At 43.2% G+C, this 22789-nt stretch overlaps 2 protein-coding genes across 8 annotated transcripts in view, besides 1 other annotated feature; one reads left to right on the forward strand and one right to left on the reverse strand.

Annotated features, from left to right (window-relative positions):
- MGST2 (microsomal glutathione S-transferase 2) overlaps window positions 1-22789 on the forward strand; it is an 88800-nt gene that overhangs the window by 41241 nt on the left and 24770 nt on the right. The window contains exon 6 of one of the 6 annotated variants that reach the window (XM_017008213.2): window positions 9358-9706. The exons of the other annotated variants lie outside the window; for them this stretch is intronic. The gene's annotated coding sequence lies outside the window, so the exon portion shown is untranslated. Of the gene's footprint in view, window positions 1-9357; window positions 9707-22789 lie in introns of those variants that run through there. 6 annotated transcript variants of the gene reach the window in all.
- Window positions 4061-5260: an enhancer, noted in NCBI's record as "BRD4-independent group 4 enhancer chr4:140632274-140633473 (GRCh37/hg19 assembly coordinates)". NCBI's record gives its function as "activates an origin of replication core promoter dependent on BRD2, P300/CBP, MED14 and CDK7 cofactors, and independent of BRD4, by STARR-seq in HCT116 cells {active_cell/tissue: HCT116}" and the evidence as "EXISTENCE:reporter gene assay evidence [ECO:0000049][PMID:35650434]".
- The window catches only part of MAML3 (mastermind like transcriptional coactivator 3), a 437432-nt gene continuing 424336 nt past the window's right edge, over window positions 9694-22789 (reverse strand). Inside the window, exons 4-5 of one of the 2 annotated variants that reach the window (XM_047415929.1) lie at window positions 18692-18773; window positions 9694-13264 (exon numbers count right to left, since the gene is read on the reverse strand). In XM_047415929.1, the coding sequence (XP_047271885.1) occupies window positions 12264-13264; window positions 18692-18773 (1083 nt within the window). In that variant the 3' untranslated portion in view covers window positions 9694-12263. Of the gene's footprint in view, window positions 13265-18691; window positions 18777-22789 lie in introns of both variants that reach the window. The other variant, NM_018717.5, reaches the window with a different exon arrangement.

The following is a 22789-nucleotide window of genomic DNA, read 5'->3' on the forward strand; positions in this document are numbered from 1 at the left end:
TATTATTATACTTTAAGTTTTAGGGTACATGTGCACAATGTGCAGGTTTGTTACATATGTATACATGTGCCATGTTGGTGTGCTGCACCCATTAACTCGTCATTTAGCATTAGGTATATCTCCTAATGCTATACCTCCCCCCTCTCCCCACCCCACAACAGTCCCCGGAGTGTGATGTTCCCCTTCCTGTGTCCATGTGTTCTCATTGTTCAATTCCCACCTATGAGTGAGAACATGAGGTGTTTGGTTTTTTGTCCTTGTGATAGTTTGCTGAGAATGATGGTTTCCAGTTTCATCCATGTCCCTACAAAGGACATGAACTCTTCATTTTTTATGGCTGCATAGTATTCCATGGTGTATATGTGCCACATTTTCTTAATCCAGTCTATCATTGTTGGACATTTGGGTTGGTTCCAAGTCTTTGCTATTGTGAATAATGCCGCAATAAACATACGTGTGCATGTGTCTTTATAGCAAGCAGCATGATTTATAATCCTTTGGGTATATACCCAGTAATGGGATGGCTGGGTCAAATGGTATTTCTAGTTCTAGATCCCTGAGGAATCGCCACACTGACTTCCACAATGGTTGAACTAGTTTACAGTCCCACCAACAGTGTAAAAGTGTTCCTATTTCTCCACATCCTCTCCAGCACCTGTTGTTTCCTGACTTTTGAATGATCGCCATTCTAACTGGTGTGAGATGGTATCTCATTGTGGTTTTGATTTGCATTTCTCTGATGGCCAGTGATGATGAGCATTTTTTCATGTATTTTTTGGCTGCATAAATGTCTTCTTTTGAGAAGTGTCTGTTCATGTCCTTCGCCCACTTTTTGATGGGGTTGTTTGTTTTTTTCTTGTAAATTTGTTTGAGTTCATTGTAGATTCTGGATATTAGCCCTTTGTCAGATGAGTAGGTTGCAAAAATTTTCTCCCATTCTGTAGGTTGCCTGTTCACTCTGATGGTAGTTTCTTTTGCTGTGCAGAAGCTCTTGAGTTTAATTAGATCCCGTTTGTCCATTTTGTCTTTTGTTGCCATTGCTTTTGGTGTTTTAGACATGAAGTCCTTGTCCTTGCCCATGCCTATGTCCTGAATGATATTGCCTAGGTTTTCTTCTAGGGTTTTTATGGTTTTAGGTCTAACACGTAAGTCTTTATTCCATCTTGAATTAATTTTTGTATAAGGTGTAAGGAAGGGATCCAGTTTCAGCTTTCTACATATGGCTAGCCAGTTTTCCCAGCACCATTTATTAAATAGGGAATCCTTTCCCCATTGCTTGTTTTTGTCAGGTTTATCAAAGATCAGATGGTTGTAGATATGCGGCATTATTTCTGAGGGCTCTGTTCTGTTCCATTGATCTATATCTCTTTTTTGGTACCAGTACCATGCTGTTTTGTTGACTGTAGCCTTGTAGTATAGTTTGAAGTCAGGTATCGTGATGCCTCCGGCTTTGTTCTTTTGGCTTAGGATTGACTTGGTGATGTGGGCTCTTTTTTGGTTCCATATGAACTTTAAAGTAGTTTTTTCCAATTCTGTGAAGAAAGTCATTGGTAGCTTGATGGGGATGGCATTGAATCTATAAATTAGTCCTTAAGTGGCATAAAAACCAAATGGCAATGTGAGATCCTTGATCAAATTCTGGTTAGAAAAAAACAACTATGGGCCAGGCGCGGTGGCTCACGCCTGTAATCCCAGCACTTTGGGAGGCCGAGGTGGGTGGATCACCTGAGGTCAAGAGTTTGAGACCAGCCTGACCAACATGAAGAAATCCCGTCTCTACTAAAAATACAAAATTAGCCGGGCATGGTGGCACACACCTGTAATCTCAGCTACTCTGGAGGCTGAGGCAGGAGAATCACTTGAACCCAGGAGGAGGTTGTGGTGAGCGGAGATGGCACCACTGCACTCCAGCCTGGGCAACGAGAGCAAAACTCCGTCTCAAAAAAAAAAAAAAAAGAAAAAGAAAAAGAAAAAAACAACTATGGATGACCTTTGTGAGACAATGGAAAAAATTTTTTTTTTTTTTTTTTTTTTTTTTTTTGAGATGGAGTCTCACTCTGTCGCCCAGGCCGGAGTGCAGTGGTGCGATTTCTGCTCATTGCAAGCTCTGCCTCCCAGGTTCACACCATTCTCCTGCCTCAGCCTCCCAAGTAGCTGGGACTAGAGGCGCCCGCCACCACGCCCAGCTAATTTTTTGTATTTTTTAGTAGAGACTGGGTTTCACCGTGTTAGCCAGGATGGTCTTGATCTCCTGACCTCATGATCCGCCCACCTCAGCCTCCCAAAGTGCTGGGATTACAGGTGTGAGCCATCACGCCCGGCCAGACAATGGAAACAATTTAAGCATGGAATACAGATAGATGATATTAGGGAATTAATGTTAATTGTGTTAGGTGTGATAATTATATCGTGGCTAGAGAAGAGAATGCCCTAATTCTCTGGAGCTGTGTCCTGAGGCATTAAGGGGTAAAGTGGTTGGATGTACTTTAAAATGGTTCTGCGAAATATATATGTGAAGCATTTATGGCAAAGTGTTAATGATTACATCTAATTGGTAAGTGTATAGGTATTCGTTGTATTATTATTTCTACTTTCCTGGTTGTTTAAAAATGTTTATAATAAAGAGTTAAAGGATCTGAAGAGAAGTTAAAACCTAAAATCAGATTCTTGGTAGCCCTGAAGATTTTCTGTGTTGAGCATTGTTAAGAGATCCAGTGGTATTGATGGATCCACAGTCATCCATGCTGGCCTGGCAGCTGTCCTGGGTGTGGCACAGATGCCTGGGCCCCACATGTGTGAGAGCTGCAGTAATTACCTCCACCTGTTGCATGAAATGAGGCAGGTGTCTGTGCCAGCTACTCCAGAGGACACTAGTGGAGGAATTTAATGTCCTTAGTACTTAAAAGAGAATTGAGGACAAAATCGGATTTACAAAAAGAGGAAACAAATCAAAAAGAAAATTAAAAGGTAAAGACTGGTTACCCAAAGAGGTAGCTCTGTTCCATTTTCAGATAATTTTTCTTGTTCCACTTTTCTTTTAGGGGTTGGAGGTGGGTGGGGTATGGCCAAAAAAGTCATTAATAAACAAAATCAGGTCATTTGAGGTTCACCCTTTTTCTCCAGACACAATCTTCCTTGAAAAGAATGGTCAGAGGCAGAAACAGCTCATTGAATGCTATGGAATGTTCCTTAATCACCAGTGAAATACGTCTTTCTCACTGGGGGCAGATGTCTAGTGACTTTCTAGAAAAATGTTTATTCTCTCCTCTTTCTTCCCCCATCACCATACTTACTGCACTAGGATTTTATAAAGGTCAGTAAGATTACATGTAAGAACTCATTTGAAAAGAGAAAGGTATTCCATTCATCCAGTGCCAAACGAGTATAAGTAAGAATATGTGGCTTGAATTGATTGGAACTAGGAGTAATCAACACTTCTCAGAGCTTCACGTTTTTACTTCTAGTGTCAGCGTCCCCCTGTGCCCTCCCTCCACCCCGGAATCAGTTCATTTTCTCTCCCATGTTTTCTGGGAGAGTGCTAAGCCAATATCAAAAGAACAAAGCCCAATGCCATGCTGTTTCCTACATGGTGTTATTTGCCAACCTGTCTGGAACCATAGCCCACTAAGGGTAGCGATGGCCTCTTCTTCATAATTAAATTCTTTCTTTTGGTTTGTGTATATTAAAACTTACCTTTGTTTTGTGCCTAAATTTGATGATGACTTTATTCTGTGGCCTACTTTTCCTCTTAACCCAGTTTTGAAACATGTTGTGATACTAAGCTTTTTAAAGTTTGATGAGGAGTCTTAGGTCATTTCCTAGAAGTGGAGAGGTGGATTCACATCTATGTGATTTATTAACAAAGGGCTCTCAATAGGGGAAAAAGAAAGAGAGTGGGGGTAACAGGACAGAGAAGGGGAACAAGCCAAAATAGGGGGCTCCTTTATTTTTCCCTTTTTTTTTTTTTGTTTTGAGACAGGGTCTCTCTCTGTCACCCTGGTTGGAGTGCAGTGGCGTGATCACAATCCACTGCAGCCTTGACTTCCTGGGCTCAGGTGATTCTCCCACCTCAGCCTCCTGAGTAGCTGGGACTACAGGAATGCATCACCATGACCGGCTGTTTTCTATTTTTTGTAGAGATGGGGTTTCGCCATGTTGCCCAGGCTGGTCTCAAACTGTTACAGGACAGAGAAATATGTTACAGGAAAAGGTCCCAATCCAGACCCCAAGAGAAGGTTCTTGGATCTCGTGCAAGAAAGAATTCTTGCACGAGTGAGTGCTCAGTGCAAAGTGAAAGCAAGTTTATTAAGAAAGTAAAGGAATAAAAGAATGGCTACTCCATAGAGCAGCCCCGAGGGCTGCTGGTTGCCTATTTTTATGGTTATCTCTTGATGATATACTAAACAAGGGGTGGATTATTCATGTCTCTCCTTTTTAGAACATATAGGGTAACTCCCTGGTATTGCCATGGCATTTGTAAACTCTCATGGCACTGGTGGGAGTGTAGCAGAGAGGAAGACCAGAGGTCACTCTCGTCGCCATTTTGGTTTTGCTGGATTTTGGCCAGCTCCTTTACTGCAACCTGGTTTATCGGCAAGGTCTTTATGACATGTATTTTGTGCTGACCTATCTCATCCTGTGACTTAGAATGCCTTAACTGTCTGGGAATGTAGCCCAGTAGGTTTCAGCCTCATTTCACCCAGTTCCTATTTAAGATGGAGTTGCCGCCTCTGACATTTCCCCCCTTTCTTTTATAAGAGAACCTTTAATCCTAAGGGTTGCAGAGGGACAAAGATCCATCTTCTGTAACTTCTTCAGGCTGAATAGGGGCGATGATATTCCTGCCTAACTATGAGGGTCTCTTGCATTCAGGGTATAGAGGAGCTCAGTCAGAAAGCATCAGTATGGTGAGGGCCATTCATGACTCTTGAGTTTTGACAAGAGGTGATATCTGGAAGATTAATAAGTGTTTAGTTTAAGAAAACATTCAGTAAGCTTGTTCTGTATTCCTACACAAAGAGTATAGCAGTAATGTATTCCACAAGAGTAAAGCAAAATAAGTAAAGTTATTCCAAGCAAGCTAAATTAGAAGGCTTTCCATCAACTGTGCAACTGTTGAAACCAAGCTGATATGGGGTTGGCAGCTGATTGCAATGTGCCCAGAATTAGAATACTGATCCAGACTTTTACATTACCCATCCCTCTTGTTTCCTCTGAGCAGCAGTTAGAGATCACTGGTTAGTTCACAGGAATAAACAGGGTTAGCTTAAATTGCAGAAACAAACTTAAAAACAACTAGTGAGACTAGAATTTAATAACAAGTGTACCATAGTTCTTGAAACATAATAGTTCTCGCTCCAGTTTCCCATTTTTACTAAAGACGAATTATGGTAAGACTGATTTGCTTTATTATACTTGGCCTGATTATTTGTATAAAGTACAGCAAGGATAATTATTTTTCACACAGGCATTTTAATTGGCTTTGATGGAACTCTGTTTCATAAGGAATCTCAGATAAGACTTTTTAAAAAGCCGAGCCCTGCCATGGGTTTGTACCCTGAAATACCTATGAGTTAGGTAAATTCCTGTCCTTTTGAGGTCCCAAGATAACTTGGGGCTCCTGGACCTGTGAGAAAGTGAAATTCTTTACTTACCATAGGTCAGAAACCCTATACAGGGACTGTGTAGGCAAGGTATGAGGCCAGTTCCCCAAAGGGTTTTTATTGGCTCTACAAGTCAAGTTTGATTCCTTAAAGGAAAGCACACCATTCCAGTCAAAGCCTTGGTAAAATGACCCATTTCTCCAATTGTGTCCTGTTACAAAAGAAAACAGATTCGTATTGCATTTATGCAAATAAGTATATTGCCATAAGTTAAGAATACTCACAACTAATTTCCAAATTCTGAAGTCAGGTTAGAGAGAAACAAATATGTTCCAAATTTTGTTCACAGCAGTATGCTTTACTCAATTGCTACAAGCTATAAATAGCTCAAAAGAAAAGTTTCCTTGACTCTGAAAAACAAAGCAAAGCATGCTTCTCTGTTCCAAGTGTGCGGAGTCAAAGTATCCCTCCATAACTACTATTAGCCATCCCTTAAAGTATATTTCCTACCTAGTTATTTCACAGCAAAGCTGTCTCAAAATGCAAAGTAATTTCTGATACCCCCCAAACTCAAAACCATCAGATAACACAATACAAAACAGAACAGAGCATTTGATTTTGAGAGGGATCCATCTGCTTTTAATTCCTGGGGTTTCAAGATAAAAACAGGTTTTTTCCCAAAACGGAGTCTGTGACACCTCCTTTGTTTTTCCCAATGAGTCTGTGACACCTCCTTTGTTTTTCCCAAGGAGTCCCAGGCTACCAGAAGTTATCTTAGGGCCTCTCGTGTGTTCATTAAGAGTGGCAAGACAGAAAAAAAAAAAAAAAAAAAAAAGGAGAAAAATAATTCAGTTGACTGAGAAGAAAAAACCTTTTTCCAGAAAAACAAGTTCCAAAAAGAGAAAATCATTAATGGCCTTTTAAATATATCTATTGCTTGTTTATCTACTTTTAATTAAGCTGACTTCTAACCATAGTGTTCTTTAAAAAAGAAATACTTTTGGATCTCTTATTACCTGACTTTAACAATGCCAAGCGGCCAATATTTCTAGCTTCTGAACTCTACCAGAGATAACCTCCTAGGTGCTTAGTGAAAGGAAAATTTAAGACAGTCCATGGAGAAGAAGAGAATAGACAAGGTCATGCAGATATGAAACCAGAAATGGTAGGCGGGGAAATCGAACCCTGGCTACCAATATGAAAGTGCACGATCTTAGCTACTGAGCTATAGCAAAGCGTGGTCTCCAGTTCCTTTCCCAGGAAGAGTCTAGAGTAGTTAATTTTGAGCTTGCAAAGGCTTTTAACTATTTAATATGATTTTTAGAGCTATGACATGAATCCTAAAATTCCTATTTCCTGGAAGGTGGAGACCACGGGAAGGTACCACCACATGGTTAAAAGGTCAAGCTCCCAAGGACATAAAACAAGGTGGAGATTTCATCCAGTTTTTTGTTTGTTTCAGGGACCTGCAGCCAAGTTTATTACTGACCAGCTTGTGAGGTCATCCTGAAAAGCGGGCTTACAGGTATTCTAAGCCCATGTTTTATCCTAAAGTACCCCTTTACACAGAAAAACGAATTCATGGCACAAAATACACCAGCTTAAGACTAGCCTTAGAATTCTTTTTGGCATTAATCAAAACTTTACAGAGGACATAAACACTGATTTTTTCCCCCCATTCATTTAACTATTTGCACACAGAGACAGAAGCCAGAAATCTGACTGGGAAGAAATTCCTACCCTTTTGCCAGCATGCTAAGCTTCTGGGTTCTCTTTCCCTGAGGGGCCCTAGTGATCTGGCTTGTGGCACAACTGCCTTTGGGGGCCAAGCCGCATCATAAAGGAAAAGTATTTCTTTTTGTTCTGGCCAAAGCAAAATACGCGTAATAAAACATAGATATTAACCAGGCTGCTTAGCATCCAATATCAAACTGGCAAGGCTTAAATTTGCCCTCAGGTGGGCCCTGTCATCTTTAATCTAACCTCCGACTAGGAGTTTCAACATGTGGTCTCTGGGCAAGATGGTCGCCCTGAGTAATAGAAAAGAAAGAGAAAGGAGAGAGAGAAAAACATTGCCTGTGGCAGGGCGGGGAAGGTGAAATGATCAGGGAGGCCAGAGAAAGAACCACCCATTGCAGCGACACTAAAAAGTTCAGGTGGCTGCTGTCGGTGGAGCAAGGATCTTTTCCAGTAATCCTACCAGCTCTCAAATTTCCCTTGTTAGGGAGGAAAAAGCTCCCCATGTCCCAGGATCCTGTACATTCCTAATTCTGTCACCCATAGCCATCAGCAAAGTACAAGGGAGATTAATCCAAAGAGAATAGCAGTTAACATCCCATAGTGCCGAACCTGTTCTTAGCCGAGAGGGACTTTACCGAAGAGGGGCCTCTAACCCGCTAAATCTTAGAAGGGACTCTAACTCTCCTAAGTCGGGCCTCTAACCAGAGGTCGGTCAAGCATCCTTGCCTTTTATTAAGGGGGAGCCTTTAACCACCTCTATCTTAGGAGAGACTCTAACTCCACTAAGCTGGGCCTCTAACCCAATCCCATTCTTTACCCAGGTACCCCACCACTTACCCAAAGTCTTCCAATCAGTGCTGCAGTCTATTTCCTTTGTGTTAGGGGGTGTCTCCCCAGTATCGTCCCATCGTTCTCCAGAAATATGTTAGAGGACTCCAATACTTACCCAAAGGTAGCTGTTGGGTCTAGGTTTCTACACTATTGTCCCTTCGGTGGTTGCCAGAAATATGTTGCAGGACAGAGAAATGTGTTACAGGAAAGGGGTCCTGATGCAGACCCCAAGAGAGGGTTCTTGGCTCTTGCGCAAGAAAGAATTCAGGGTGAGTCTGCAGTGCACAGTGAAAGCAAGTTTATTAAGAAAGTAAAGGAATAAAAGAATGGCTACTCCATAGAGCAGCCCCGAGGGCTGCTGGTTGTCCATTTTTATGGTTATCTCTTGATGATATGCTAAACAAGGGGTGCATTATTCATGCCTCCCCTTTTTAGACCATATAGGGTAACTTCCTGACCTTGCCATGGCATTTGTAAACTGTCATGGCACTGGTGGGAGTGTGGCAGTGAGGACGACCAGAGGTCACCCTCGTCGCTATTTTGGTTTTGGTGGGCTTTGGCTGGCTCCTTTACTGCAAACTGTTTTATCAGCAAGGTCTTTATGCCGTGTATTTTGTGCTGAACTCCTATCTCATCCTGTGACTTAGAATGCCTTAACCGTCTGGGAATGCAGCCCAGTAGGTTTCAGTCTCATTTTACCCAGCTCCTATTTAACATGGAGTTGCTCTGGTTCACACGCCTCTGACAAAACTCCTGGGCTCAAGTGATCCGCTTGCCTTGCCCTCCCAAAGTGCTGGGTGGGATTGCAGGTGTAAGCTACAGTGCCCGGTCTGGGGGGCACCTTTAAACCAAGTCCCAGCCTTTGCCTGATCTTGCAGTAGAGCTCTGGAGCAAAATTATATCTGAGTTTGTTCAGACAAGTCAACTGGGCTTTTATACTCCTGCACCAGTGAGTCACTGGCTAAAGTCAATCCAGAGGGGTATAAACTTCTAAGCACTTTCAATTCTGTGGGTGCAGGTGAAGCCAGGCCATGGTTTGAGATGCAAAGAAGTGGCCTGGTAGGAGTGGGGTGGTGGAGGCTGTTTACTGACAGTGCTCACTACAGTGGAACAAGAACCTTTATTACTTCCCCTCAATATATTCCGATTTTTCTTTTTTTGACAAAAATATTTATTTTTCCAGTGGAGCCTCCCTACCTCCAGATGAACTAGTTGGAAATGGAATTGTTATGGTACTGAATCTACAAATGGATTGCACTATGTTCCATGCAAAGTTGACTTTCCTCCCTTCCCTTTGCCACATCCTTCAGAGTGCGGCAGTAAATTCAGAAAGTATCATCAGTTGTGCAGTTGAATGCAAAGGCTGGGAATGATTGATCTCTCCCATTAAATAAATGTTTAAAGAATGATATCAAAATTTTGAGAAAAGAACTGCAGTTAATTAAAACCCAGGAATAATATGTCTGCTTAATTAAGATTGGAGCTCCAGTGAGGATCTTAAAATAAACTATACTTTGGATTGATTCAGATAATCTTTTATTTTTGTTTTTGTTTTCTTTAAAAGTGGTATGTCAACATCACTTCATTTCTACATTTCAGCGTTCTGTACATTTCTTAAAAGGAAATAAGCAATGCTCAATGTACAAAGTAAAAACAGAAAACTAGAAAAATCTGAATAAAATGGAGCAAGTTGCCAGAGGTCATACAGTACAAATTAGTAATTAGATGTCATCTGAAGTGCAATACCACTGCTGTGATGATGAGTTAAGGAATGAAATAAAAATACTCTATTTTAAACAAACAGTATATATATATTTATATGTATATTTTTTACAGATAGTAGACCCAGTGATATCTGCAGTATTGTAAAAACTTATGTACAAATAACTTTTTTTAGACATTACATATACATCAGCACCGTAGTAAAAACAAAACCAAAACAAAACCACCATATTAAAATCTACCTATTAGTTGGTCCCAGTACTGAGCATTTGGAGGAAGCTTTTAAAAGATAATGGAGCCCCCCACCCCTGTCTGTCTCACTTCCATTAGCCACCTCCAGTTTCTCATCATTGCTTATATATTTATTTCCTGTACCTTTCAGGAAAAGGTAATTATGTTTTGTGTCTTCTCATTTGTTTGTTTGCTTTTTTTTGGTTTCATCTCTTTGATCCACTCAGTTTCCCCAGTGGCATCACTCCCCATTTGGGGAGTTCAGGGTCACCCTGCTGCCACCTCTTCGGAGAGGGCGCCCAGCCCCTGCCTGGGCTTCTCACCCACCAGGCACCTCTGGCCTTACATCCTGCCCCTTCCTGAGCAGCTCTACAACCCCGGGTACGCGGAGAGCAAGTCAAAGGCAATGTTTGCCTGCCGCCTCCTCTCCAAAAACACCTCTGCCCCCAGCTTTCCATGGCAACTCGCCTTCTCAGGACTGAGTGTGGCCAGTCCAACCCCACAGGCTCCGACTCTTCCGTAGTGATCTGCCTGGGAGTGCACAGAAGGCAGCCAGCGTCTAGGACACGGAGGGAGGAGGGGACAGGAAAAAAGCACACGCCACTCTCACTTAGGACGACACCGAAGCCACAAGTCCTCCAAAAGGGGGATTGGGAGGGGAGGCAAGGAGCCTTGTTGATTCCTTCTGACAGATTTCGCTTAGGGCAGATGTGCGTCAATTGCAGAGAACAACTGTACAGGACTTTGGAAGAGGACTACTTTGCCCATATGAAATAAACTACATCTCCTTTCTATCCAAATTTGTAAGGTGGAGCAATTGCTTTTTTAGCTCCTCCACCTCTCTGGGATTTTATATTTGTCTTTCTGATGAGTAGGGATGATGGGAAAGGTGGATTTTTAGAGCATCACTCCCAGGATTTCGCCCAAAGGGAGCCTGAACCAGTGACCTCCAGGCCACTCCTTCCTGGGGATATCAGAAATATCAGATGTGGCTCACAAAAAACCGACTCCCAAACATCAGAGCAGCCCTCTTGGTTCCAGGCAGATATTCATTCAACGCTACACGTTAGAGAAAGAAGACTCCAGTGTCGCCTTTGCATTTCAGGCATTGTCTAAGTTCTTCCTGCATTTATGTGGACTCTGCCCAAGGCTCCCTAAAGACATAAGCTTCACTTCTTGGATAGTCTGTAAGGAGAAGCAAGGGGAGGCTGGTGTGGAGGCAAGGAGGAATAAAGGCAGGGCTGGAGACAAAGGCTCCAGGCTGGCAGACACACAGGGTCCAGTAGGGGTTTCCCTGCCCTGCGGCCGCCAGAAGTAGATGTGACCCACCTGGATGTATGGGTTTTGTATTGGGCGCCAGCAGGCTCCAGCCCCACCTGGAGGGACTGCCACCAGGGGCACCAGCAGAGGGAAGCCGTCCCAGGACTGCCGGATGGACCCTGCTCCAAACTCAGCCTGCTCTCCTTGTGACAGCAGAGCCTTTGCAATTCCTGAGGGTCATCATGGGGCAGGAGACAGACAGTCCTGTAGGATCTGTGGTTGTCTCCTTTTGACAATCTCACTGTTCTTCGTGCCTGCCCTCCAAATTCAGTAGCATGTCTCAAAGCCTTACATCTCTCGGCACCCAGAGTTCAGTGCATTTCCAACCTGTGCACCTGGCCTGTGCAACCACCCAGCCTCTTCTGGGGGACTCACTCTCCCTGGCTGAGGCTCTGTCTCTTTTGTGTCTCCAAAGCTGCTGTCTCCCGACCTGGGGCAGGAGGGGCTGAGGATACCTCTCTTGGGTAATAGTCCCTCTCGGCTGAAGCAGCTCCTGCTGGGCCAGGCGATCACAGGGCATGCTGGGCAGAGGGGCTCTGGCCGGCTTCATCTTCCCACCTGCTCCTCCGGGTGTCTCCCTCTCTCGCAGCCGGGATCTGCATGGCGTCTCATCTCGATTGCTGTGTGAAAATCAGGTGAAATGAGGCCTGGTGGGGCTGTGGATTGGCACCTGGATCTTCCATTGTCAGCCAGCTGCAGTTTTGCTCAGTTTACGTGGGTCAAAAAAACAAAAAACAAGGATGGGTCAACATCCTGTTTCTTTTTCACTTTTTAAGCTTTAACCACTCGAGTTGTGGATCTTGGGGCCTCTCTTGATTAGGGGTTACCAAACAATTCATCAAGCTCCTGCATCCACTCGTCCCCTGGCCCGCCTTTGATGATGGAGTCCACAAGGTCTGCACCGTCCGGGAGGCCAGGGAAGGAACCCCCAGCTCCGTCGCCACTGTAATTGTATGACACGTCCTGAGGGGCATTCCGCTCATAGGCTTGGCTCTGGCTGCTTGGAGCAAAGCTGCCACTGGGTATCTGCTGCTGTGCTGGGGGCTGGCTGAACGCTGGCATGCCTGGGACTCCCTGGCTCAGGCCAGACATGACCATTGGCCTCGCCTGGCTGGTGCCTTGCTGCCCCGGGAGCGATGGCATCATCTGCCGACCCATGGCAGCTGGGTTGAGGGTCCTCACTGTGCCCGTGTTAGCATCCACGACTGACTGGCTCAGTCCCTGTGGGAAGTGCTGCTTGGTCAGTCTCGGCTGCCCAGCTTGAAGAGGGTAGCTGGCGCCATTGTTGAATGGTCCCAATTCTCCACTAGTCCTCCCAGGCATGCCCTGCAAGCTCCTCTGTTGCCAGCTTTGTGCTCCTTGCTGGACTGTTCCCATAAGGCTCTGCAGCCTTGGAGGGGCTTGGGGCCTAGGCAAGGCCTGGCCTACTGGCCCTTTCATCTGTGGATGTTGCTGGGTAATGGCTGAGTTCACCAGCATGCTCTGACCAAAGCCACTCACCATTCCAACCCCCTGCCCAGAGGCAGGTTGCCTCGGTCCCTGGGCTTGGTTATGTGTGATGCTCATGCCACTTTGGTTTGGATGCTGCAACATTTGGGTCATGCCTGTGCTCATATTGTACATTCCTGGTTGGCTGGTAGGCGTGGTGCTATAAGGGGCCAGTCCCATCTCCGACTGCGCAGCTGCGGTGGCCATCGTCCCAGGGTTCTGGGAGGGTCCTATTCCCATCATGCCTGCGTTCTGTGCCATCAGCCGTGACGTTCGCATGCTCTGGAGGGCTGCTTGGCTTCTTACGGCTGCTATATCCTGGGGAGAACCTGCAGTGAAAAAGAGGACACATACCACTCACTCTTCTCCATAAGCAATATACTGCAACAAGATGTTGGAATTTTCTTTGGGAATGACAAAATTCCTTTATATGAAAGGATCTACTCTGATAATAAATCTGTAACAAAAATGATTATTTTTCTGATTATAGCATATGCTGATTGTGAAAATTTTGAAAGTGTTAAAAAATACAGAGACAAAAATTAAAGTCACCTGAAATCCCACTATCCAGAGATGATCATTCCTATTCTTTTATTTGTATATAAATAGACACCCACAAAAATTGGGATCGTACTGTGCATGTGTTTTTGTAGCTGACTTTTCCACTAAACAGATCCTGATGTAATTCTTGTTTATACTTCAGAAGCAAATTATTTCGTACTCTTATAGGTATGACATCATCCTCAACCAATAAGATACTATTTTCTTTGGAGGTGAGAGAGAATCCACCTCTGGGGCTAAATTAGAAAGAAATGGCTGATCACTTTGTATTTTCTATTTGTGAAGTGGAACATGGTTCAGTAGAGAATACTATCAATAAAGACCATTAGACTAATTTCCCTTAAGACTTGAGTAGGATTTGAGAGGTTAAAGGCCACTGCTTCTGCTAAGCAGCTATTTTGACAGATAGGACATTTTTCGGATCCACTCTGTAGATTTCAACATGCTCCAGATTCTCTGAATCATAACTTGTCATTGCAAACTGGCCAGCTTCCTGAGCTAGAAAAAGAAATCATCCTGCTACGTGCGACTTGGCCATAAACTTTACGCATTTCTACAGCAAAGTCCATTCCTTCAAATCGGCAACGACTATTTCTCTCAGCAAATTGCTAACACAATTTTAATAATGCTGTTTAAAAGGTGGCCAGAGTGTCCATACCAAGTCATTCAACCTTAATTAGGCATTTGAGTGAGTCCTTCTTTACATGTTACCAGGAAATTTCCAAACAGCCAAGGGAATGGAAATGTCGCCAGTAGAACACCAGTCAACGTTGCAAAGGTCTAGGAGGTACACAAAAACGGATTTTTCTATGTCCCTGCTAATGATTGAGTCTATGAGAAGAAGAAAAATAGTTTTTTTCCTGGACATTTAAAGAAGGTGCAGCATGGGAGCCAGTCAATATTCTAAGCAAATTTGATCCCACCTGGAACTGTGATGAGAAACCAGATGAGAATAGTCTAACCTTGTTAAACCTGGCACCCTGGTAGATAACTGAAGCATGTTTTTGTCTTCCTGATGTGGCTATTGATTTCTGGGCTGCAAATATGTCTCCATAGTTTCTTCCTTTCTTTAAGAAAGAAAATTACTGGAATTTTGATTATGTCTCAAGTTTTTGTGGCTTGAGATCAATATCATACTGCATTGAAAAATGAAACGATTTCTATCAGGAAACCTGAAAGATCTGGGGGAAATCCCTAGAAATGTTTTCATATATTTTTTTAAGCTTCATTATATCTAAGTGATTTTTTGAAAAATCGAAAGTTCCTAGTAAAACACTGGAAGGTAGTATATACTGCAACTTGTAATATTGTCATGCAGTTTTGTGACCTTAACGACTAAATTTTTATCGGCTGCATGGCCAATAAGATCAACTGTGGTGAAATGGGTTATTGAGTTGTTTATAAAAAAAGTTTAAGGGAAAAATATTGCTGAGTCAGAGATTGATTGGATAGACCCAAATTATATAAACAGTCTGATGGGCTGCTAGAAATAGATGAAAGGACATCTATAATTTGGCCATTTTGGGGTATATTTATAATGGATATGGTAAAGGACTAGATACTGTCTGGAATAATTTTGTGAATGAGAAATAGGTTCCTTTCTTTAGAGGGCAGAAGCGTTACAATGCTTTTTAATAGGCAGTGATACATTAATCCAAGCCAACCTTTATTTTTTATTTAGTGTAAATGACTGCACTATCTTGATGTAATTCTTATTTTTAAAAGGCATTTTAAAATCAGCAATTGCCACATTCTTTTTCACCTAAGGGAAATAAAAGGACTTTTATTAATCTAGTTTTATGCCTTCCGTGATTTTAAATATACAAAGGAAAAAAATTCAGATGTGTCCAAGGAATTAACTTGTCTTTACATGATTACTACATGTGTTAAACAACAGATTATGTTTTCTTTTTCTTTTTTTGGTCTAAAGCAGATATTATTGTGAGACACTGTAATCTAATTTTCTTGTCTGCTGGTTAACATCACAATGTCCAAGAAAATCTTGTATATTCAAATACAGATGATAGTATCCAACTTTTTCCTAAAAAAGTCTATGTTCTATTTTCACTCACAAGAAGCCTGTATTTGTGAAAAAAATAAGTATTTCCCCATAGTCATGTAACATTGCCCAGAGATCCAGAACCTAATGAGGGAAAGACAGTCATTAAGACCTTTGAAATGTATAATGGTGAGAGTATGGGATAGGTTCTCATGCAAGTTATACCTAACAAAACTTCTCTCCAAGAATGATATTTCTTATTTTTCAGTTTGCTATTTTCCCAGATGCATAACATCATGCTATCTAGGGTGTCTGTAAACACATGAAAATACTGAAGATAGTAAAACAAATTATATATCTCAAACCAATCAGTTCAAGGACCCTAAAATGTCACACTGGCTTTACTGATAGTATTCTCTACTGAACCGTGTTCCACGTCACGAATAGAAAATGCAAAGTGATCAGCCATTTCTTTCTAATTTAGCCCCAAAGGTGAATTCTCTCTCACCTCCAAAGAAAATAGTATCTTATTGGTTGAGGATGATATCATATCTATATGAGTGCGAAATAATTTGCTTCTGAAGTATAAACAAGAATTACATCAGGATCTGTTAAGTGGAAAAGTCAGCTTCAAAAACCCATGTACAGTACAATCCCAATTTTTGTGGGTGTCTATTTATATAGAAACAAAAGAATAGGATTGATCATCTCTGGATGGTGGGATTTCAGGTGACTTTAATTTTTGTCTCTGGTTTTTTTTGTTTCTTTTTTCTGGGACACAGTTTTGCTCTTGTTGCCCAGGCTGGAGTGCAATGGCACGATCTTGGCTCACCACAACCTCTGCCTCCTGAGTTCAAGCAATTCTCCTGCCCCAGCCTCCGGAGTAGCTGGGATTACAGGCATGCGCCACTATGCCTGGCTAATTTTTTGTATTTTTAGTAGAGACGGGGTTTCTCCATGTTGGTCAGGCTGGTCTCGAACTCCCGACCTCAGGTGAACTGCCCGCCTCGGCCTCCCAACGTGCTGGGATTACAGGAGTGAGCAACTGCACCTGCCTGGAATAGAAGTTTTTAACTGGACCCAAAACATTCAGAATAGCTCATATGTGTCTATGTTCTGTAACACAGGGGAATTATTAAATAATTCCCCTTTTCCCCCACAAATAATACATGAGTTATGAACCTGGAAAACTCAAGAGACATTATGCTGGGTTTATCAGCTTTTATGTTTTTAATTAGTTCATAATATAATGCAGCAGCTCTCAAGCGTGGTTCCCTAGCTAGCAAAATCAGTGACTCCTGGGAACTTGTAAAAAATGCAGATTCTCAAGCCCCGCTTCAGATTTACTGAATCAGAAACACTGTGTATGTTTTAACAAGCTCCGCTGGTGCTTTCAGTGCAGGCTAAAGTTTGAGAACTACAGATACAAAGGAGGGCTCTGTATCTGCAACAACAACTATGTAATGATGACTAGTCCCCACTCTTCCGAAGCTACCCATGGCAAAATTAGAAACATAATTCTTCAAAAACCACTGGCACTGATTTAGTGCACAGAACACCTGTGGATAACTCAATTCCTTTTGTCCTTCCCTGTGTCAAGGCCAAAGGATCTAATGTGATATAAGCATTCCAGAGGTGGAAGGGAGTGGTAGCTACTCAAGACCCAGTATTTTTACAGGTGATCTTCAATGTGATCTGTCAGTAAATATCAATGGCTTTCAGACTGTAAACTACAGCTCACAGTTCATGATCTAGGATATATACATGTGGGTTTAAAACAGAAAGAAAAGTTTCTGATATGCTCTGGTAATTTCTGTTGTATTTCATTTTGAAAATGTTGGTTGTGACCCACTAAGTTGTTTCCAATAACCTTGTGTGTTGCAATCTGAGAAGTTAAAAATGCTACCTTAGATCAGAAAATTTTCACCCAGTCTATTGATAAAGTTCAGGGATACTTGTGAAATTATATAAAAGTTTGTATATATTTACATATTATATGTTTCTCTGCAAGAGGCTTCATAGCTTTTTGCAGACACTTAAAGGAATAGGTAACTTTTGAGAAGCTAGGACACATTGATCTAGATCCCACAAAATGGGCAGAGGATGGGATTAGGATTTCTGCTGCTAGGTGACCCCTGTAGCCCCCTGAAAACTCCTGTGGATAAGATTAGGAAGGCTCCTCAGGCTATTTTCTTCACCCCATATAAGACCCTCAAGGGTCTTTTTTTTTTTTTTTTTGAGACAGAGTCTCGCTCTGTTGCCCAGGCTGGAGTAGCTCACTGCAACCTCCACCTCCCGGGTTCAAGCGATTCTTGTGCCTCAACCTCCTAAGTAACTGAGATTACAGGTATGCATCACCACTCCTGGCTAATTTTTTGCATTTTTAGAGAGACAGGGTTTTGCTATGTTGGCCAGGCTGGTCTTGAACTCCTGGCCTCAAGTGATCCGTCCACCTCAGCCTCCCAAAGTGCTAGGATTATAGGCGTGAGCCACCGCACCCGGCCAAGGGCTCTCTCTATTAGAGATGGAAGGGTTTGATATTTGAACGGGCCTTCCACATTTATAAAGGAGTGCCAACACTGACATACAGTGCGCCCACTGCTACTAGGTCATGATTTAGGATTCCCGCAAACGGCTACAGGATCAGTTCAATCAGCCTCAAGGCCCTATTTGTCTTCTACATTCAAAAGAGACTAGTGGTTGTTGCAAGCCAGATTCTTCCACTTCAGCTTTAGAGGTAAGGGCTTTGGTCAGGTGACCTGCTGGGATAAGCAAAAAAGATGTGGCACAAGATTTTTGCCCCTGTAGTCACTAAGATGACGATCTAAACATAAACAAAATTGATATGCAGCCAACAGGCACCAGTATATCTTTACTGGTTGTTAAACTATTACAATACTATGTACCTTTGGTAAAGAACAGCTGTTCTAGTCCCAACTCCGACAGCTACCCTGACCCTTCCCTGTGCCTTCTAGAACCTCTCTGTGACTCAGTGACCAAAAGGTTAATGCCTGGCACAACAGGAGGCCTCTAGGAATCCATTCTGATTGGTTAGTACTCTTAACCTACCAGTAGTTACATATTTTGAGTATTTCCTGGACACAAATACAGCCAGTAAGGCAATGCCTCTGGCTACACATTCACTTACGCTTCACCACTGGAAGGTATAAAATGAGAGAGGTTGCACTGGCCTCACCTTGAAACTGATTGACCTGCTGCACTGGGTATGGATTCCGCTGTGGCTGGAGGTGCTGCCGGGGTAGATGTGATTGCTGCAACTGCTAGAACAACAGAACACAAGAGGGGTGGAGAGGTGAGATAGGGAGCAAGCACACAATTCAATATCCCAGCAGTTCCGAGGAAGGTAGTGTTTTCCCCAAAACTAAACTTTGTGTTGAAGAATCATATGCATACAGGCAAGTGCACAAAGTCTAAGGATAGAGTCAGGTAGGTTTTCACAAAACGAACACACTCAGGGCCACCAGCCCCCACATCAAGAAACAGAACGCTGCCAGGAGCCCCTCGTGCCCCTTCCAGTCATCACTCTCCCTTGACCCATGGGCATCACTGTCCTAACTTTTAACAACATAGAGCAGTTATGTCTGCTTTTGTACTTTGCAGAAAAGGATTCACATGATGCTGCTTTTGTGTCTGGCTTCTTGCATTCACCACTGTATTTGTGAGATTCATCCACGTGGATGTGAATTCTTGTTGCTTGTTCATTCTCACTGTTGGATAGTATTCCATCATATGAATATACCATAATTTATTTACCCATTCTACTAGTGATGTCACCTTTGGTGTTTCTAGTTTTTGTGTTTCAAATGTGACTGCTATGAACATTCCTGTACATGCCTTTGGTGAACATCTGTATGTATTTCTGATGTGTGGACTTGCTGGCTCATGAGGAATGCGTGCTGAGGGAAGGGGTTTTGACATGGACTGCCCAACATCAGCCTGCATGCTTTCCTTAGGCTGTGGGGACTGAGTTGAAAGGGACAAGCAACTGCTTTTTAATGACCTAAGTGGATGCTTTGGGCATAGGAAGATGACATCCTCAGGAGTTATACAAAAAAGGCTAATCTTATTCCCATGAAGCCACACTGCCTGTAAAATACATCTCTACATGTAAACTATTCAGCATTTACTGCTTTGAGGAAACCATGTGGGATTCCACATATACCAGCAGACCAGGAGGCCTGCATATTAGTCTTTCTTCTTCCACTCACGGGGATGCTGCACTGCTAGTGTTGCTACCAATATGCTGGGAAGGCTATTATCATTATCATGCTGTATGTGCAAAGGGAAAGAAAATAAGAGTGATGTAGAAAGAGCAGAGAAAGAGGTTTCAGTTCTAGGTCTGCCGTCAAGTAGCTTGCGTGACCTTGGGGATGTTGTTTAACCTGCTCCCTGCAGCTGCTGAATATTCATTAAGCACCTTTCATCTGCAAGGGCTATAAAGAATATACAACAAGGTCCCTGTTCTTTAGAGTGTTCATTATAAAAATAACACACACTGACCACCTCTTAACGCCTGTGTTTATTTCAATTTTTTCTCTTGTGTTTGTTCCTGGGCTGCTCTATAATTTTCTTTTCTTTTTCTCTTTCTCTACAAGGCCAGCCAGTATTCTGGCAACCAAAGAAAAAACAGCCTCTGACTCGTTGACCCCATCCCATGGTTCCTACCATAATGTTCTACAGAAAACTGTTGAAATTAATTGATTGTGTAGACCATTAAAGTGTAGACAAGAAACCACACAAATCTTTTAGGCAGCAATAGAAGGGCATTACTGAGAGTAAGCTGAGCATTTAACAGCTTCTCCTCAGTCAAACTTCCCATATAATATAAGAATTTAACTGTCCCACTTACGACTAGGAATGAGCCCCTGGCAGCCTGTGGGGGACTGAGGGTGTATCCTGGAGTCAGGAATCAGGAGTCCTCAGTTCCATCCTGGCTCTGTCTCTCTCTAGCTCTGTGATCTCATATAAATCACATAAGCTCAGTTTCCCCACATAACCTCAGTTCCTCATTTGTAAAATGATGGGACTTCATGATGTAGAATGTTTCTAAGTTCTGTCTAACCTTTGTGAATGGATGAGAGGTTATGTGCTTTGAACTTTTGGAGAATACGGCATTAAATGTGAATTCATGCCTACTTTCAACCTGCACTGCTCTGATTGCCAAGTCTACTGAGAATCATTTTAAAGTTTCCCAAAATATGTAAGATCCCAAATCCTTCTGTTTTCCCTCACATGTCCTTTCAGGAAACCCAAAATCTGTTTCCAAAATCCAAAGTGTGAGGACACTTTCAATGCTGCAGCAACCAAGATTGGTGTTGATCTGGCAGTATTCACTCTCAAAACGAAAAACTGAGAGCTGGCCGGGTGCCGTGGCTCACACCTGTAACCCCAGCACTTTGGGAGGCCGAGGCAGGCAGATTGCTTGAGCCCAGGAGTTCGAGACCAGCCTGGCCAACATGGTGAAACCCCATCTCTACTAAAATACAAAAATTAGCCAGGCGTGATGGTGTTTGCCTGTGGTCCCAGCTATTCTGGAGGCTGAGGTGGGAAGATTGCTTGAGCTCATCAGGCAGAGGTTGTAGTGAGCCGAGATCATGCCACTGCACTCCAGCCTGGGTGACAAAGTGAGACCCTGTCTCAAAACAAAACAAACAAAAAAAAGTTGAGCACTTACTCCTTGTAGACCTGCACTTGGACAACCTGCACTAAATCTGCACCCTCCTCAGGTACAGGCAAGACGCTCCACTGACCTGGCTGGGCCATGTGGCTGCAGCTCTCACATGACATTCGCTGACACCAGGGCCACGTGACAGGCCCCCACATACATGTGTGCAGCACATACAGCTTCCAAAACATTTTATACACATGATCTTATGTGATCCTTAAAGCAGCTACATGAGGTGGGCTGGGAAATTATTAAAACCTAATCTGGCAGATGAAGAGGGAAGTTAGTGGTTTTTCCAAAATCACATCACATGCAAAAGAACGGACAAATCTTGGCCCTGAGGAAAGTGATCCTCCCCTCATCCCTCATCATCTTTTGGTACACACAGTTGCTACGGAATGATCCACAGGTCACGGCTTCCCATTTCCCTTGTCTTTCCCAAGAAGCCCCAGCTCTCTCCATGCTCTGGATTCTGAGGGGTCTCCCCTGACCTCTCACCTCCTTGTCTGGGGGCATCATCTTGACGTGTCTCTTCTCACACTCTTCCCACACCCTGTGCTCCCCAGGGTCGGGCTGGCCTCACCGTGTGGGAACACCCTTGGGCTGCACAGCTGAGCTCTGCCTGCTTGCCCTGGGCCTTCTTTGTGTCTTTGGTCACAGCACACATATCAAAAGCCATCACTCAAAACATCAGGCACACCTGAGATTTCCTGGGATTGGCTGAGGAGAGGATTTACAGAGCCCAGCTGCCCTCGGCAGCTCCATTTGTCACTGCCTGAGAGAGATTAGCATGGCTCCTTGTCGCACACCTTATGTAGGTGAGAGGGATAGAGGTTTGTTTGTACAATAGCTGCCAGGCGGCTGACTGACCTTGGTAAAAAGGGAGATAATTACACAGCTGTTCAGGAACAAAAGCAAAAAAAAAAAAAAAAAAAAAAAGGGAACATAAGTGAACTGTGCTCAGCAGTACAATTTTTCTCTTTGGGGGATGCCTGGTGTTACTTTGAACTGCTATTCTTGGTTAATAGGGACCTCCATGGGCCCGTGTCCTACACAGGATACACGGTGGTGGATGCTTAGTAAATTTGCAAAATTCTGGCAGGGCGTGGTGGCTCACATCTGTAATCCTAGCACTTTGGGAGGCTGAGATGGGAGGATCGCTTGAGGCCAGAAGTTCGAGACCAGCCTGGTCAACATAGTGCGACCCCGTCTCTATTTCTTTAAGAAAAAATTCATAAAATTCTGACCCTATCAGGAATATTCTAGAAGGATAACTGTGAGGCAGACTTATGTTGGGCCTTCAGCTTTATATGACAACCTCACACCTCCTATAAGAAAGAGCCTGCTGTGCAAGATTCTCTGTGCAGACCCTCACAGAAGCCGCCTGGGGATCTCTTGTGGACAGCCTCAGGCCTTTCCCTAGGATAATGCTAAGTCAGGTATGGGCATCTCTAAAAACAAAACAAATTGAAATCTACAGTAGCAGTCTGCAGGGAAGGCTTTCTCTCAAAGCTGAGGAATTATAGGGCGAGGGTGGACAAAGATGCTTAAGGTAAAGCTGTATTTGTGTTAGGCTTTCCTTTAACTCACAGATTTCCTGAGCTGTTT

Source organism: Homo sapiens, chromosome 4, assembly GCF_000001405.40.
Source record: "Homo sapiens chromosome 4, GRCh38.p14 Primary Assembly".
Classification (NCBI taxonomy): Eukaryota; Metazoa; Chordata; class Mammalia; order Primates; family Hominidae; genus Homo; species Homo sapiens.